General features: G+C 51.4%; 1 protein-coding gene across 1 annotated transcript in view, besides 9 other annotated features; it reads right to left on the reverse strand.

Annotated features, from left to right (window-relative positions):
* The window catches only part of SLC2A1 (solute carrier family 2 member 1), a 33,516-nt gene that overhangs the window by 11,850 nt on the left and 9,523 nt on the right, over positions 1–12,143 (reverse strand). Inside the window, exon 2 of the mRNA NM_006516.4 lies at positions 6,024–6,119. Within this exon, the coding sequence (NP_006507.2) occupies positions 6,024–6,119 (96 nt within the window). The remainder of the gene's footprint in view (positions 1–6,023; positions 6,120–12,143) is intronic.
* Positions 3,605–4,113: an enhancer, noted in NCBI's record as "H3K27ac-H3K4me1 hESC enhancer chr1:43406478-43406986 (GRCh37/hg19 assembly coordinates)". NCBI's record gives its function as "activates a minimal SCP1, AML or CMV promoter by ChIP-STARR-seq in naive H9 embryonic stem cells {active_cell/tissue: H9 hESC(naive)}" and the evidence as "EXISTENCE:reporter gene assay evidence [ECO:0000049][PMID:30033119]".
* Positions 3,725–3,824: an enhancer, noted in NCBI's record as "active region_904". NCBI's record gives its function as "activates an Ori minimal core promoter by ATAC-STARR-seq in GM12878 lymphoblastoid cells {active_cell/tissue: GM12878}" and the evidence as "EXISTENCE:reporter gene assay evidence [ECO:0000049][PMID:35858748]".
* Positions 3,905–4,054: an enhancer, noted in NCBI's record as "active region_905". NCBI's record gives its function as "activates an Ori minimal core promoter by ATAC-STARR-seq in GM12878 lymphoblastoid cells {active_cell/tissue: GM12878}" and the evidence as "EXISTENCE:reporter gene assay evidence [ECO:0000049][PMID:35858748]".
* Positions 5,639–6,147: an enhancer, noted in NCBI's record as "H3K27ac-H3K4me1 hESC enhancer chr1:43408512-43409020 (GRCh37/hg19 assembly coordinates)". NCBI's record gives its function as "activates a minimal SCP1, AML or CMV promoter by ChIP-STARR-seq in naive H9 embryonic stem cells {active_cell/tissue: H9 hESC(naive)}" and the evidence as "EXISTENCE:reporter gene assay evidence [ECO:0000049][PMID:30033119]".
* Positions 7,395–7,444: an enhancer, noted in NCBI's record as "active region_906". NCBI's record gives its function as "activates an Ori minimal core promoter by ATAC-STARR-seq in GM12878 lymphoblastoid cells {active_cell/tissue: GM12878}" and the evidence as "EXISTENCE:reporter gene assay evidence [ECO:0000049][PMID:35858748]".
* Positions 7,875–8,004: an enhancer, noted in NCBI's record as "active region_907". NCBI's record gives its function as "activates an Ori minimal core promoter by ATAC-STARR-seq in GM12878 lymphoblastoid cells {active_cell/tissue: GM12878}" and the evidence as "EXISTENCE:reporter gene assay evidence [ECO:0000049][PMID:35858748]".
* Positions 8,095–8,254: an enhancer, noted in NCBI's record as "active region_908". NCBI's record gives its function as "activates an Ori minimal core promoter by ATAC-STARR-seq in GM12878 lymphoblastoid cells {active_cell/tissue: GM12878}" and the evidence as "EXISTENCE:reporter gene assay evidence [ECO:0000049][PMID:35858748]".
* Positions 9,114–9,615: an enhancer, noted in NCBI's record as "H3K4me1 hESC enhancer chr1:43411987-43412488 (GRCh37/hg19 assembly coordinates)". NCBI's record gives its function as "activates a minimal SCP1, AML or CMV promoter by ChIP-STARR-seq in naive H9 embryonic stem cells {active_cell/tissue: H9 hESC(naive)}" and the evidence as "EXISTENCE:reporter gene assay evidence [ECO:0000049][PMID:30033119]".
* Positions 9,616–10,115: an enhancer, noted in NCBI's record as "H3K4me1 hESC enhancer chr1:43412489-43412988 (GRCh37/hg19 assembly coordinates)". NCBI's record gives its function as "activates a minimal SCP1, AML or CMV promoter by ChIP-STARR-seq in naive H9 embryonic stem cells {active_cell/tissue: H9 hESC(naive)}" and the evidence as "EXISTENCE:reporter gene assay evidence [ECO:0000049][PMID:30033119]".

Raw genomic sequence — 12,143 nt, forward strand, 5'->3', positions numbered from 1 at the left:
TGTACAGTAAACCTCAGCACGGAGATGGTCTGTCTGATGCATCCATGTTGCTGGTGCCCAGCACGGTGGTGGAGGTGCAGAGTTGACACTAAATGACCAACAAGCCATGAATCTAACTGAAGGGCTTGAGGGGTGATGTGATATGACAGGGTGTGATGGTGTAAGAGATTGTGCAACTGTGTGTGGGAAACCTGAGATGTTGGTACATGACTGAGCTTGACTCAGCTCCAAAGTGAGACCACACACTGCCAGCTAGGTGGCAGTTGTAGGTGAGTGAAAGGGTGTTTAGGTGCCCATCTGGGACTGTGTCCATCTTCCACAATGGTCAAGGGCACAGACTAGGGCCAGACTCCCCGGAGTTACATTGCAGCCTTGCCACTTACTAGCTGTGTGTCCTTGCTTTAATTGCTTAACATTCCTGTGCCCCAGTTTCTTATAGAGCAGGGAAAATTATGGTGTCTGCCTAATGGGGTTATTTTGAAGAACAACTGAATTACTATTTCTAGAGTATGTATAACAATGCCTGGGCAAGCTATAAGTAAGCAGTAAGGGTTTATGGTAGTGGTGACGGGTGAAGGGGAGAGAGGACTAGAACTCTTTGGATATAGGAGAGAGAAGGAGAGGCTGCCTAGAGCACGAAGCCCAGTTCAGCCTGACGGGACACAGGGCTTGGGTTGGGAGGCGGGTGTTGCCTCCAGCTCTTTCACTCACCAAGCTGGGTCATCCTGGGCAGACCTCACCTCCTCTGCAGACCAGGTTCCTCCTTTGTCAAACAAGGAGTGTTGTTTGTCAAACAACTGAGGCCTTTCTGGCCCAAACTCTGGATTCTGAGGATGCCTTATTCTCAGACATGCCTGACACTGTCCCTTGGGCCAGGACTTCATGGTTTCTCAGTGGCCGTCAGTCATCTCTACTGGCAGCTCAGTCATTTGGGGAGGGGAAAGGCAGTGCTCGGATGAGCCCAGTATGATGGTCAGGATTCCCTGGTTCATTTAGCTGCTCCCTCTGTGGCTGGGCTCACCTCTTCTGCTCTGTCCTCCTCCTCCAGGAGGGGATGCATGGCAGGAATGTCCTGTCACACTCACAGCAGGGCAGGGGCAGTGTGCAGAGCTGGGGAGGCACAAGGCCTGGAGCCCACCTCTAGCTCAGCCTCTCACTCTCCAGATACCTCATCTGGCTTCAGTTCCCTCATTTAGAAGAGGGGAAGATGTCAGCCCCGCCTGCCTTGTAGAGTTGCTGTGAGGTGGTAATTTATGGGGTGGTGCTTTGTAAACATATAAGGTAGTATGATTAATTAACCACTTCCAGGAGGAAGCCCTTTGGGGCCTGTTTTATGGAAGAGAACAAGCTTCTGGCATCCTCACCACTTGTGGGGCAAAGTCTCTTCTCAAGAGTAGGCAAACTGTGGCCAACCCAATGCTGTTTCCTAAGAGAGGTTCTTCTAAACAGACAAGGGAAGTCAGTGTGCCCACTGCAGGCAGTTAGCAATTCCGCATCAGCAGAACATTTCACACCCCTGCACCTCTGCAGAAGCCCCTCTCACTGCCCAGACACCTGCCCCTCCTGCCCTATGAGGTCAACTAACCCTTCAAGGTCGAGCATGGCTGCCAAGTCCTTCGTGAAGCCCTTTTTTTAATCTCCCCTGTCACCCCAGCCCCAGCATTAGTTGCCCCGTTTGCTCTCACAGCACCTTGAAGCCCTCTGTTAGTGACACTCTGGCTTTCTCCAAGGGGTCTCTCCCACTGCTGTGGAGACAGGGCCTGGCTCAGACTGTGTCTCAGGCAGCTCCCTGAGGGCCAGCATGTGCCTGCTGTGTTCACAGCTATACTTCTCTCTCCTTACTGTCTAGGACCGCATCTGGCACAGCGTGGATGCTCAGGAAGTCCTGGCTGAATGAAAGGGTTGGCCAGATGGAATCTCTGTGTCGCCCTAGGGCAGGCCTTCAGCCTACGCGGGCACAGGAGTCTCTCTGCCCTGTTACTACACATGGGCTCTGAGCCTCACTTTCATTTCTTCTTCTTGGGTCCTTCTGTCCTCTCTTCACATGTTACATGTATCACTTCTAATCTGGCTCCTGGTTGGAAAAACTACAGCCAGCCTTGTGAGAAGTGTTTGTAAAGTACAAAAGTCAACAGACCAAGTGTCTGGGTGCTTGCCCAAGAAACACCGCTAGATTTCAGCGTTCTCAGTTCTGGCCACTCACATCTCCAGCTTCGGTCTGCTGGGGCTGGTTCCTGAAGTGACCTTTGGACAGGTGACCATACATGGTCCTATGAATGCAGTTTACAGGCTCATCTGGGCCCTCTGTGCTGCTGACCAGCCCCGTGATGCCCTGGTCAGAGGTTCTGCCCATATTCCATGACAGTTATAACCTCTTGCCTATTTCTGATTAGATGGGAGGCCCCGGGGATCACAGAAGTTCATCTCAGATTTGTCTACATCTTCAGAAGTCTCTCAGTCCCTGGCTGGGCATGGTGGCTCATACCTGTAATCCCAGCACTTTGGGAGGCCAAGGCAGGTGGATCGCCTGAGGTCAGGAGTTTGAGACCAGCCTCACCAACCTGGTGAAACCCCATCTCTACTAAAAACACAAAAATTAGCTGGGCGTGGTGGTACACACCTGTACCAGTAGCCCAGCTACTTGGAAAGCTGAGGCACGAGAACCACTTGAACCCAGGAAGCGGAGGTTGCAGTGAGCCAAGATCATGCCACTGTACTCTGGCCTGGGCAGCAGAGCAAGACTCCGTCTCAAAAAAAAAAAAAAAAAAAAAGGTATCTCAGTCCCTCCTGGCCAAAGGCAGCCCCTCCCTTCTGCTCCGACACCACCCTCCCTCCTGGAAGACCTCCGCCCTCACTTCCTTATCTTCACCCTCTCCTGCTGATTCCTTCCAACATGTTTAAAAATAACCTTCATTAAAATAAATAAATAAATTCCTAGCCATACCATCATTCCAAACCTCCTCTTTTCTCCCTCTCCCACCAACTCTTTTGGAAGAGCCGTCTCCACCCTTTCTCATCTGCCTCTCACTCTTCACCCAATCGTAGTGAGGCTTCTATCCACGCTGTGCCACCCAGTCAGCCCGAGTGGCCACAAGGCCACCATCGCCTCTTCTGCATTCAGCAATGTGGAGAGGCTTGCCCAGTTCAACCCCTGGGGTACCCGATGGCCTTCCTCCACTCACTATCCACCAGTGTCTATTACTATGACAGGCACCGTTCTAGGCACTAAGGACACGGCCGTGGACAAACCAGACAAATACCCTGGCCCTTCGATGGCTTACATTATCCCTCTGTCTTGGGAGGGTATCCTCTCCTGGTTTTAGAGATACCAGCTCTTGTTCTTCTACTTAGGGTCTTTTTCTAGCAATGGGTTGTTCTCTGGGGCCTTGATCTTTTACTTTTAATTTTTATTTATTTAATTATAAAATTGAGATGAGGTCTTGATGTGTTGCTCAGGCTGGTCTTGAACTCCTGGGCTCAAGTGATCCACCCACCTCAGCCTCCCAAAGTGCTGGGATTACAGCGTGAGCCACATGCCCGGCCTTAATCTTCATTTCTCTTTTTATTCCACAGTCTCCCTAGAAGATCTTTCTCCACTGTGTGGATACCAGTGACTAATTCTCAACTTTTCTCCAGCCTGGGTCTAAGAAACAGACCCATACATACAGGTGCCTCCTGCACATCTCCAGCTGTGTCACCCCACGCCTCCATTCCTGCACATCCCACGGCCACCTCTCAGCTCCTGGCACACCTGCTCCTTCTTCAAACCACACATCACCCATGCCAGAAACCTAGAAACCATTTTTAAACCCTTCTCTGTTGCCCTCGCACGGAATTGATGACCAAATCCTGTCCATTCTTCCTCTGAGGGTTTGCTTTTATGTCACTAGTCCAACGGCAACTTTCTTGATGGTTTCCCGTCTCTAGTCTCACATTCTTAAGTCCGCCCCTCCATACCAGACGCCTGAGTCATTTCCCTACAATGCAAGTCTGATCACGTCTGCCCTGGGCAGTGGGTCCCTATTGTCCTCATCCTGAAGTCCATGCTCCCTAGCTGGGCCCCCGTGCTGGTGCCCATCCGCCCCTTCTGACTGTGCCGTGCCATACTCACAAGGCCCTTTGTGGTCTGGCTCTTGCCTACCTTACCTTGTTGACCTCCCCAACCTTTCCCCTCCTCCTGTTCACTCTAGTGACACACTAAACTACTCACGCTTTACTGAATGCCAGGCTTTCTGTCTTCTGGGCATTTTGCTTTGAAGGCCCCCTGCTCACCCCAACCCTGTTCTGTTTCTGGAAAACACCTCCTCTGTCCTGGCCTTAGAGTCCTAGTTCTGTCATTAACTCACTATGAGATCACAGTCAAGACATCATTAAATCCAGTAGCTGTCAACCTTGGCTGCACATTCGAATTGGTTGGGAAGCTTTTAATTGAATGCCCAAACAGCATCCCAGACCAATTAAATCAGAATCTGGGGGCGTTCTGGAAACCCCAATGTGCAACCAAGTGGAGAGCTCAACCTCCCTCTGTTTCCTCCCAGCCTGTCTTACAGACTTTCCATCTGTAAGGATTCCCAAAGGGAGCCAGTTCTGAAGCACACACTTTGGCAAGAGCTGTCAAGAGCACTTAGCAAATGCAGGGCTTGGGGCTGGTCCAAGCATGGGCCCACGGTCTCCATGCCCAGCAAACTTGGAAAAGTCCTGTCACCTCCCCTGCAGCTGAGCATGACTCAGCAGGCCAAGCCTTCCTGGTGACTTGCTCCTCAGCATCGGGCGTGGCCCCATAGCCACTGTCTGCCTATTTGGAAGAAGCCCAGCTAACTCTAGACACTACCTGGTTCCCCCAAACAGGACCCTGATCTTTGGGAGTCACTGCACTCACTTTCTAGCCCCATCCGTCTGGACAAGAAATGTGGTCCTGACGTGAGGACTGCCCACTCTCATTTGGTCCTCTCTGGGAAGGTACAGATTTTTAAACGGGCAAGGCAGCTGGTTAGGAAGACAACCTGAGGCCATGGAAACAACAGAGCTTGGCTTCTGACTCCAGCATTCAATAGCTTTGTGACCTTGGGCCTGTCGGCCATTTCATCTGCCTGGGCCTCAGTTTCCGGGTCTACAAAATGGAAATCACCACCCAATCTCATAAACACAAGCAAAATGCCTGGTACAGAGGAAGGGCTCAGTTTCCTTTCCTGTCCCTGCCTCCTACCCCCTACCCCCTTTTCCTCTTCTCTCCTCCTTAATGCAAGTAGGCTGGGCTGGAGGAGATGGTCTAGGTCCCTTCCCATCCTGACATTCAAGTAAACAAGTGAGGACAGATCTAGGATGCACGGCAGGGAGGAGGAAGCCAGCACAGACCTTCACCCCCTGTGGCTCCCTAGGGCAAGACGCCATTTCTGCTTTGACTGCCACAGGGCCTTCAGGGAGAGGACGCGGTTTCAACCTACAAATAAAGGAAGTGTGCTGCCTGTGGATGGGTATGAGTGCAGGCTCAAGGACCACCTGGCAGGCAGGTGTTGGATACCAGCTCTGTCTCTGACTTAGCTGGGTGATATTGGGCGGGTTTCCTCTCTCTGGCCGTTTCCCACACCTGCAGGCTGGGAGTGGTGCCTGCTGCCTCCTGACAGTGCTGCAGTGAGCATCAAGTGAGACAAGCCCATGAAAACCCTCTGCAGCCCCAGAATGCCACGGAAATGCAGCATTATTGTATTGAGCTTTGCTTTGAGTTTATTATATCATCAAACATATTATTAAATGACTGAGTTGGGTGGGGGGTTGGTCAAGAGGGCCTATACAAGACCCCAGGATTCTGTGGGACCTGAGATTCTAGAATTCTGCCACCCTGATTCCAAAGCAAGAGAAGAGTCTCTGACATGATCAGGGCCAGAAAACTGGCTGGAGAGGCAGACAGTACAGTGCGTTCATATAAATGACTCTAATTCAGGTGGTGGCGTGAGACTGTGGGCATGTGTGATGTGCAACAGAGCAGGCTGGTGTCCATAAGCCAACGATGGCACAGTACTCACCTTCTGGGGGGCATTGATGACTCCAGTGTTGTAGCCAAACTGCAGGGAGCCAAGCACTGCTCCTCCCACGGCCAGCATGAGGCGACCCGTCAGCTTCTGCGGAGAAACAAACCACACTGTTATAGGCGTGTCTGGGAGCAGGTTACTACAGGGCAGGGCCTGGACTGGCAAGTTTCTGTGTTCAGATATCTTGCCTGACTCTTGGCACCACACCAGTCTTTCTCCCAGGAAACTTGGCCAATTCCTGACCTTAGGTGCCCAAACCAGCCTAGCTGACTTCAAGATACTGGGCTGGCCGGGCCATTTCCTGGGGAGAGAGGGGAAGTATGATCTTCTCTCTCTGTAGCCAGGTCTCAGAGAGGGAGAGGCTTTGGATTCTTGGGGGTCTCATTTCCCTGGTGGAGCCATGCCTAGGGTCTGGTGGTTCTAGACTCTCTGACTGGGAGGCCCAGGAACCAGCCCTCCTATGCGAGGGGGCCCAAATTACTTGGTAGGAATAGCACAGATATAGATAGGAGAAGCACCCTGGATTTGGAGCTGAAGCCGCTGGCTTCTGATTCCAGCCCATCTGCCTGTTTGCTCTGTGAATTCCAGCAGGCTAAGTCCCCCATGTACCACCTCTCCCCTATCCTCCATTTGCTTGTCAGCAAAATGGCAACAGCTTCGTTTGTCACATTGGAGATGTGATCCCACCTTGCCCTACCCTTCCTGCTGTTCACAGGGCAGGAAACTGAGCCCTGAGAGGGTGAGGCAAGTTCCAGATCACTCAGGAGCCTGCAGCAGAGCTCAGGGCTCCGGACTCCTTACCCAGTGCTCCTCACGGCAATAATCCCCAAACCATAAGCCTCCCAAGGTTATATGGACATAGACGACATGCTAGGCGGGAATGCACTTTGGAAAAGTGCACAAGGTGAGTAAGAGTGTGGGGCTAAGGTGTTTCCAATGGGCAAAGGGATGGGAGAGAAAAAGAGCAGTTTGCTTCTGTCCATTGGAAGCCGAGGACCTAAGGCAGCAGGAAGGGCAGAGGCCAGCAGGTGAAGAGCCCTGCTTAGCCACAGGTGACTGAGAGGCCAGCAGGGTGTCAGCCCTGCTGAAGAAAAGTGCTCTTTTCAGCTATAAAAATGAGGAAGTCAGGAAATGTGACATTAGGCAGGCCTTTAACTGATTGTGGGAGAACAGGGCTGCGGGAGGCATGCCAAAGAAACGACTGGCATTCACTACGCACACTATACCAAGCTGGGCCCTGGAAGTGGGTGGAGCTGGCCATGGCCTGGCTGTGGGTCTCTGGGCCTTGGTTTCCACAGAACCCAGAAGCAGCCTTTACTTCAAGATCATCACAGATAGCCCTGGGCATAGCTGTTACCAGGCATATTCCCAGTATGGTCTTTTCATTCTCTGAAAGCGTCAGTCAGGGCAACGACTGCAAAAGCCAAGGCTCTCACATCAGAGGCTGCGAAAGAGGAAGAAGGCTTCGGCCCAGGAGGAGTGTGCAGCTCAGAGCCCCCTCTGTGTGTGCGCTGCATCCTTCCTTCCCATTAGTCTGTCTACCTGACCCCTTAGCCTGCCTCTGGACATTTATTCCACATGCTGGGGCTTCCCTCATACCACAGGGACTCCATTCCCTCTAAATCCTCTGCATTGCCCAACTAGAAAGACAGCCCCCACCCCCCGTATGTCCTGGCACTGCCCCCAGAATCTCCCTTCTCTCAATTCTCTGGGGAGCCTTCAGGCCCAGAGCTGTTGTTCCGAGTGGGTAGTGAGCAGCTGACAAATTTCTGGGGGACCCCAGCGACACACCAGGTCAAGCCTAATTCATAGGGTGGACACTAATTCAGAGGCTGTGGCAAGGCACTAAGCATCACCAGGAGGGCTCACTAAACAGCGACTGCTAGGCCCGCCACGTGCTGGGCTTTCTGCCTGCGGTATTACCTGCATTTGCTCATGGGATGCAAAGTATATACTGTATTTTTCTGGAACACATTAGAATAGATTAAAAAACAAGCAATGCAGTGACATCAATCTATCATTTAAGAAAACGTGGCATAGTGATATAATGGAATACATAACCTGGGAGTTCGAGGCCGCAGTGAGCTGTGATCACCCCATGGCACTCCAGCCTGGGTGACAGAGTGAGACTCTGTCCCAAAAAACAAAAGCGAAACCAAAAACAGAGCAGTGTGTATATTGTATGCTACCTTTTGGGTTAAAAAAAAAAATTGGCTGGGGGTAGGGGGAGAATATACACATCTATTTAAAAGAATGCACAAGAGGCTAGGCACGGTGGCTCACATCTATAATCTCAGCTTGAGGCCAGGAGTTCGAGACCAGCCTGGCCAACATGGCAAAACCCTGTCTCTACTAAAAATACAAAAATTAGCTGGGCATGGTGGTGCGTGCCTGTAGTCCCAACTACTTGGGAGGCTGAGGGACAAGAATCACTTTATCTGGGAGATGAAGTGAGCCGAGATGGCGCCACTGCACTCCAGCCTGGGCGACAGAGCAGACTCTGTCTCAAAAAAAAAAAAAAACAAAAAACAAAAAACAAGAATGTACAAGAAAGGTAACATTCTAACCCCGGGGGGGCCTGGGTGACTGGGGACAGGGTGAAAGGGAGATTTCATTTTATAGCCTTTGGCACTTTTTTGAATTCTGAATGGTGTGAATGGAATCACCTATTCAAAATAATTTTTACAAGCCCTGTGATTTCATATTACTTAGAACAAAGCAATTTAAATAAAAACATTAAGTGGAAAATAATACAAATGATCCATGGATCTGGCAAAAATTATGTTGGTAGAGCATGAGTGAATGACACTGGCTATGTGAGGTAAGTGCTATTATCACAGGCCCTGTTTTACTGAGGTCTGCATCTGATGTTCCAGGGGTCTGGAGCCTCTGAAGTCATCCCTGGGGCCCCACTGAGCAGCTGCTCGACTGTAGCCTCTGTCAATGGGGGCTGCTGGAGGCCAAGGACATACCCCTCCGCTGGACCTTGTCATCAGCAGGTCGAGGTCAAACTCGACTTTAGAAAACCTGCCTACCCACTCCCTGGGTCATATCCACATCCACCCAGGCAGCTGCTGCACTAGGACTGACTAAAATACCAGTGACCCATGCTCTAGGTCTCATGCTAAGTAGAGCTGGGGCCCCGGATGAAACTGGACCCAGTCCTGACACCAAGGAAGGAGTTTCCAGTACAGTGGGGTGGGGGCAGTGGGGAGGCAGATGAAGATGAGAGGCTAGTGTGGTCTGGGCTTCAACAGGGGGCTGGTATGAGGCACTGTGAGAACCCTGGAGGGAAAGATTTCCAGTTTTGCCTGGGTACAAAAAAAGATGAGTTCCCAGGAGGTGACATTGGAGCTGGGCTGTGAAGGACACACAGAGAGTCTGCCAAGTGGGAAAGCAGTGGCAAGGCTACATTCCAGGTGGACAGAACAGTATGTGCAAGGAGAAGAAATGGGGACCAGTCAGATTAAGAAACAGCGTGCTCAGTGTGGCTCAGTGCTAGGTGTAGGGGGAGGGACATGGCCCCTGCTCCTCAGTAGGCACAAGACACTGCGACCAATCTCAGATTCATGCTGCCACTCTGCTGCGCCCACTATAGCCGGCTTGATCATTGCTGGGCTTGGAAGCAGACCCACGTTTAAATGCAGCAAGCTGCCTCCTTTCACCTTGGAGTTGGATACAAGGCAGCCCTGCTCTGGGCCTTGGTTTCCTCACCTAGAAAACGGGGATGAAAGTTCCTTCCTTAAAGGGTTGCTGTTACGTTTTCTATCAGTATCCATCATGAAGCCTGGCAGAATTCCCTCCACAAGTGTTTGCTGGATCGGTGAAGAATAGCAAGCTACCCTCGATCGGGCAGCCTCAGCACCATCTGCCCCCACCAGCCAGTGGCTAGAACTGGAACATGGCAATGAAGTCCATTCACTCAACGTGTATTTATTTATTCTGGTGTCAAGCTGATGAACAGTTGGTGATGACTTAGAGAAGGGTACTAGCCCCATAGAGCTTGTGATTTTCTTGTGGGAGCCTTTTTTACTGGTGGGGAGCAATGTACAGCCCAGAGTCTGGGATCCCCAGCAGCCCATCAGCACTCCCTGGGGATGAGACTACTTTCTAGAACATTCCATTCTCTTCCAGGCCTTTGCTCTTGCTATGTCCTCTGCAGTCTCTAGCTTATTACCCATCTGCCACTCAGTTTGGGAACTCCTTAAGAATAGAACCAGGGGCAGGACGCGGTGATCCCAGAACTTTGGGAGGCCAAGGTGGGCGGATCATTTGAGCTCAGGAGTTCAAGACCTGCCTGGGCAATATGGTGAAACCAGGTCTCTACTAAAATTACACACACACACACACAAAAAAAAAAAAAAAAAAAAAAAAACAGCTGGATATGGTGGCACACATCTGTATCACCTGAGCCTGGGAGGCAGAAGTTGCAGTGAGCCAAGATCATGCCACTTCACTCCAGCCTCGGCAACAGAGTGAGATAAAAAAAAGGAATGGAACCTGGGTCATACCGTGTCTGCAGCCAGAGTGACGAGAGTAGGGAACAGCACATGCTAATTGCCAAACAAAGAAACCTGCCACTTTTCAATTTGGCTTTTGGGCAAAGCTGGCTCTGTGAGTATCTGTTGTGCCAGACCAGTGTTCATCCTTAGCCATTTATCAAACCCCTGACGAGTGCTGGAACATCAGAGCTCTGAGAGGTAAATACAGCACCCCACAAAACCCTCCACTCCAAGCCCACAGGGCTGTCAAGGAAGGACCTCTGAAGTCAGGCAGACTGAGTTCAAATCCTGACTCTCCTAGGAGAGTCATGGCCTCCCAGCTTGGCCAGCAACTGGGCTCAGGGTCCAGCACAGAGAAGCATTTCTCATGTCCCCACCCCTCACCCTCCCTATCCCACCGCTGGGGGTCTCACGACCCACAAGAGCCCTCCCTCTCCCAGGAAGCCATGGATGAGGTGTTAAGATTCAGGACCTCTCCCCCAACGCTCGGATGCCAGATGGCCCTGGCCACATTGTATAACTTGCCAAACACTGTGGCCTTTTGACCCATGTCAGTGTGTCAGCATTGCGCTCCAGCCCCAGGGTTGGCCTGCAGCAGGTTCTCAATCTATATTGGCACAGGAAGGGCACGTGGCTACTGCTACTCAGAGGCAGGGTATTCCTGGCAAGAGGAGGGTCCCAGGGCTGGCAGACTCCAGATGTTGCTCCATCTTGTCCTCTTCCCACAGCATCCCACATGGGTTCCCCAGGTGCAGGGAAGCAGGGGACGCAGGGCTTTCCAACTGCTTAGTCCACGGCTCAAAGGAGTGGGGGAGGGGTTTACCTGAATCCATGACAGCTCCCTTTTAATTTGTTTTGTTGTGTTTCTTACTCATTTAAATGAACTTCTGGGCATTAAAAGAAAGAACCTCAAGGCTGGGCGCGGTGGCTTACACCTATAATCCCAGCACTCTGGTAGGCCGAGGCGGGCGGATTGGTTAAGGCCAGGAGTTCCAGACCAGCTTGGCCAACACAGCAAAACCCTGTCTCTACTAAAAATAGAAAAGTTGGAGCCGGGCACGGTGGCTCACCCCTGTAATCCCAGCACTTTGGGAGGCAAGGCGGGCAGATCACGAGGTCAGGAGATCGAGACCATCCTGGCTAACACGGTGAAACCCCGTTTCTACTAAAAATACAAAAAAAAAATTAGCCCGGCATGGTGGCGCATGCCTGTAGTCCCAGCTACTCGGGAGGCTGAGGCAGGAGAATGGCTTGAACCCAGGAGGCAGAGCTTGCAGTGAGCTGAGATCGCGCCACTGCACTCCAGCCTGGGCGACAGAGCAAGACTCTGTCTCAAAAAAAAAAAAAAAAAGTACAAAAATTAGTGGGGTGTGGTGGCACATGCCTATAATCCCAGCTACTTGGGAGGCTGAGGCAGGAGAATAGAATCACTTTAACCTGGGAGGCGGAGGTTGTAGTGAGCAGATATTGCACGACTGCATTCCAGTCTGGGCGACAGAGTGAGACACTCTCAAAAGAAAAAAAAATAAGACAGCTTTGGCTGCAATAAGAAAGAAAGAAGCTCAAGAAATTGCAGACTGCTGTAACATCGGCACTTGACAGGAGGCACCTG

Source organism: Homo sapiens, chromosome 1, assembly GCF_000001405.40.
Source record: "Homo sapiens chromosome 1, GRCh38.p14 Primary Assembly".
In the NCBI taxonomy this organism is placed as follows: domain Eukaryota; kingdom Metazoa; phylum Chordata; class Mammalia; order Primates; family Hominidae; genus Homo; species Homo sapiens.